Source organism: Homo sapiens, chromosome X (assembly GCF_000001405.40).
Source record: "Homo sapiens chromosome X, GRCh38.p14 Primary Assembly".
Lineage (NCBI taxonomy): Eukaryota > Metazoa > Chordata > Mammalia > Primates > Hominidae > Homo > Homo sapiens.
This window is the reverse complement of record NC_000023.11, coordinates 37,503,315-37,506,281: the sequence shown is the minus strand read 5'-3', so window position 1 is coordinate 37,506,281 and position 2,967 is coordinate 37,503,315. Positions and strand designations below refer to the sequence as shown.

The following is a 2,967-nucleotide window of genomic DNA, read 5'->3' as shown; positions in this document are numbered from 1 at the left end:
ACCCCACACCTCACCCCACCCTACCCCACCCCACCTCACCCCATCCAATCCCACATGCCCTCAAAGTTTATAAGGGGAAGACTAATGTATTTTCCAGCGGCCCATAAAATACCTTTCCCCTCCACCCCCGCAGATCCTGAGCTGCATGCAGATGGGGCAGGGCTGAATGGAAAGACTGCTGGATACCTACTTTAAACCTGCATGGGGATGTGCCCTGATTCCTAAAAGGTGAGAGTGTTGCAGATATGCATCAGCTGGACACCTTTATTGCTTTGAGAACAGATAACTTTATTGCCAACAACAGTAAAACTGAGAGGAGAAAACTGAAGAGAATGTTCTGAAAGGACAACATGGACGCCCCGCGTGGTGGCGCGAGCAGGGGAAGGCACCCCGTGGCTGCGGGACCTGTCTGGGCTCTGGTGTGTTTCTGGCTGCGGCCCAGGGTGAGCTTGTTAAAGAGGTACTCTGCCAGGCCTGCTTCCGGGGCCCCCATCTTGCACAGGTTGCTCAGGTAGCCACCAATCTCTTTGATGGTCTTGGCCTGCTGGTTCAGGAAGTGGTTCTCCAGGAAGTCACAGAGGTGGGGTCGTCGTTCTCCTTGGCCAGCTGGTGCAGCTCCAGGAGGCTCTGGTTGACGTTCTTCTCCAGGTAGAAGGCGCAGTCCATGGCCTGGAGCCCGCTCTCCCAGCCTTGGCACTCTGGCTTCCTGATGTCGCGAAGGTAGATGCGGCCACCGCGCAGGTTCTGCAGGCTCATCAGCTCCTGGGCGTGCTCCCTCTTCTCGTGCCACTGGTGCAAGAAATAGCGGCTGAAGCTCTCCAGGGCCACGTCGTCCCGGTCGAAGAAGAAGGCCATGGACAGGTACACATAGGAGGCGTGGAGCTCCAGGGTGACCTTGATGTTGATGGCGACCTCGCAGCTGAGATGGTTGTTCTGGTGCACCTGCGACAGCGGGCCCAGGGCGGGCAGTGCGGGCGCGAGGAGCAGGCAGGGTAAAGCGGTGTGGTCGCTAGGGTCCCGAAGCGGGCGGCGGCATCGGCATCGGCAGTGGCGGCCGCGGCGGGTGCCTCTGAGCACAACATGGTGGACGACGGAGGCGACCAGTGGAGGGCAGGGTCCTCGGGACCAGGCGGTGGTGGTTGCCACAGGGTCTGCGAAGGGACCGGAAGTGGGCTGTGGGGACCCGTATGGGTGGAGGGGCGCGCGCCGTCGGGTGGATGGTGGTGGTGGCGAGGGGGGGCACACTGAGTTCCGTGGGCAGCCCAGGGAACTAGGCACTGTCAGTCCACTGCGTGATGTCAATTCTGCAGTAACTTTTCTAGTGTCCAAGGACTTTTTCGTCTGCCCCCTGATTATTCCCCTCTATGACAGCTTGTTCTCATTTTATAAACCTCTTGTCTTTCTTAAACTCTGAGAGTATGTTCTGGTAACGTTTTTTTCTGTTTCCTGTATTATATCCTCTTTTTCCCTCCTCCAGAATTAGTTCTATTTGTGCATCTTCCTCACTTTCCTTAAATATCTGGAAAACGTTTGTCCATTCATGATTGGAATCAAGGACTGGGTTAGCCTCGGTGATGAGCATGGATCGAATGCACAGCTGTGAGTCTGGGTGACCAATAGGATTCTCCCATGAACAGGAGGGTGGAGTGTGTCAATTAGGGAGTGCTCATCTCCTTTGGAGATAAAGGTATAGAGCTCCCAGGCAGAGTAGGAACTATTCTAAATGCCCAAAGCATGGCATTTCTCTGGCACTGGAATATGTTAGTGGATCTGTCTTCTAGGTAGATGTCAGCTTCCCTTTAAATGCTCACCCATGTCTGCTGCACCCGGAAGCTTAATTCTTTCTGCAGGAGAGATGTCTCCACATGACAAGGAATGTGATTTCAGATATGTTTTCAGGATCAAAGCTTAAACACCAGAGTAAAGACTCTGTTTTTAAAATTTACCTGGAAAAGTCCTCTATGTTCACGGTTTTGGGGACTCAATAACTAATCCCCGTGTCTTCCCTGCTGAATTTGAAACCAATTAGTAGACATGGGACTCAGCTCACTGAAGAGCAAGCTTACGTCTGTAGCAAAATGAACTTGCTAGTACTTTTCAAATCTTCCAATTAGAGAAACTCGCTGTGGCAGAGTGACTTCATCAAAGCTTATTTGTTTTCATCTTGGTCCACAAGTAACCATATTTTTTTAGCTACCCTTGTGATTTGATGGGGTCTTGTACTGATTTCTGGCTATTGGAATATGAAAATAACTGGTGTATGGCCAAATAAGGCCTAGTTTATAGGACACACCGTGTGCAATCCATGTCTCAAGAAGAGGAACAGACCCTACAATATGACATATCCACTTTGGAGAAGGAGCCTGGAACTTTGAATAACATATGGACAATGTCCCCTCAAAAAAAAAAACACACACAAGAAGAAGAGGAAAAGAAAGAAAGAGTGTCTGTATTTTATTCTGAGTAAATGGTTTTTGTTGAGAGAATGCTTTATGTCAACTAGCAGTTATGTGAGACACAGCTTTAAAGAGCAAAGCACTGCATTCAGCAGAAGAGCACAAGTTATGCTTTCTTCCATTTTGATTAGAAAAATAAAATGGCAGAGTTACATACAAGACAACATGGAACTACTAAAGTACTTTTTCAAGTTGCTTTTATGTTTGATTTGTTAAGGAAAAACAAAAAGAACTTGAAGATTGCCTTTGTAAATATGAAGAAGGTGACTTGCGAAACTAATCTAGCCATAAATTGATCCCAGGAGTACTGGTTCTTCGGAGATTCCTATTGCTGTTCCAAGAGTACAAGTCCTGTATAAAGGAGTGCTTCCTAATGGTTATGGATTTGTGAAAAATGTACCATAAAAAGTTCAGCTCTTTATTTTTCATGAAATGGGTATCCTATGGCATACTTTCTAGAAATATCATGATTGGCAACACTATTTAGTCATTATACTTAAGTATTTGATAC

At 48.3% G+C, this 2,967-nt stretch overlaps 1 pseudogene; it reads right to left on the bottom strand.

Annotated features, from left to right (window-relative positions):
- FTH1P27 (ferritin heavy chain 1 pseudogene 27) lies at positions 247 to 1,015 on the bottom strand (annotated as a pseudogene).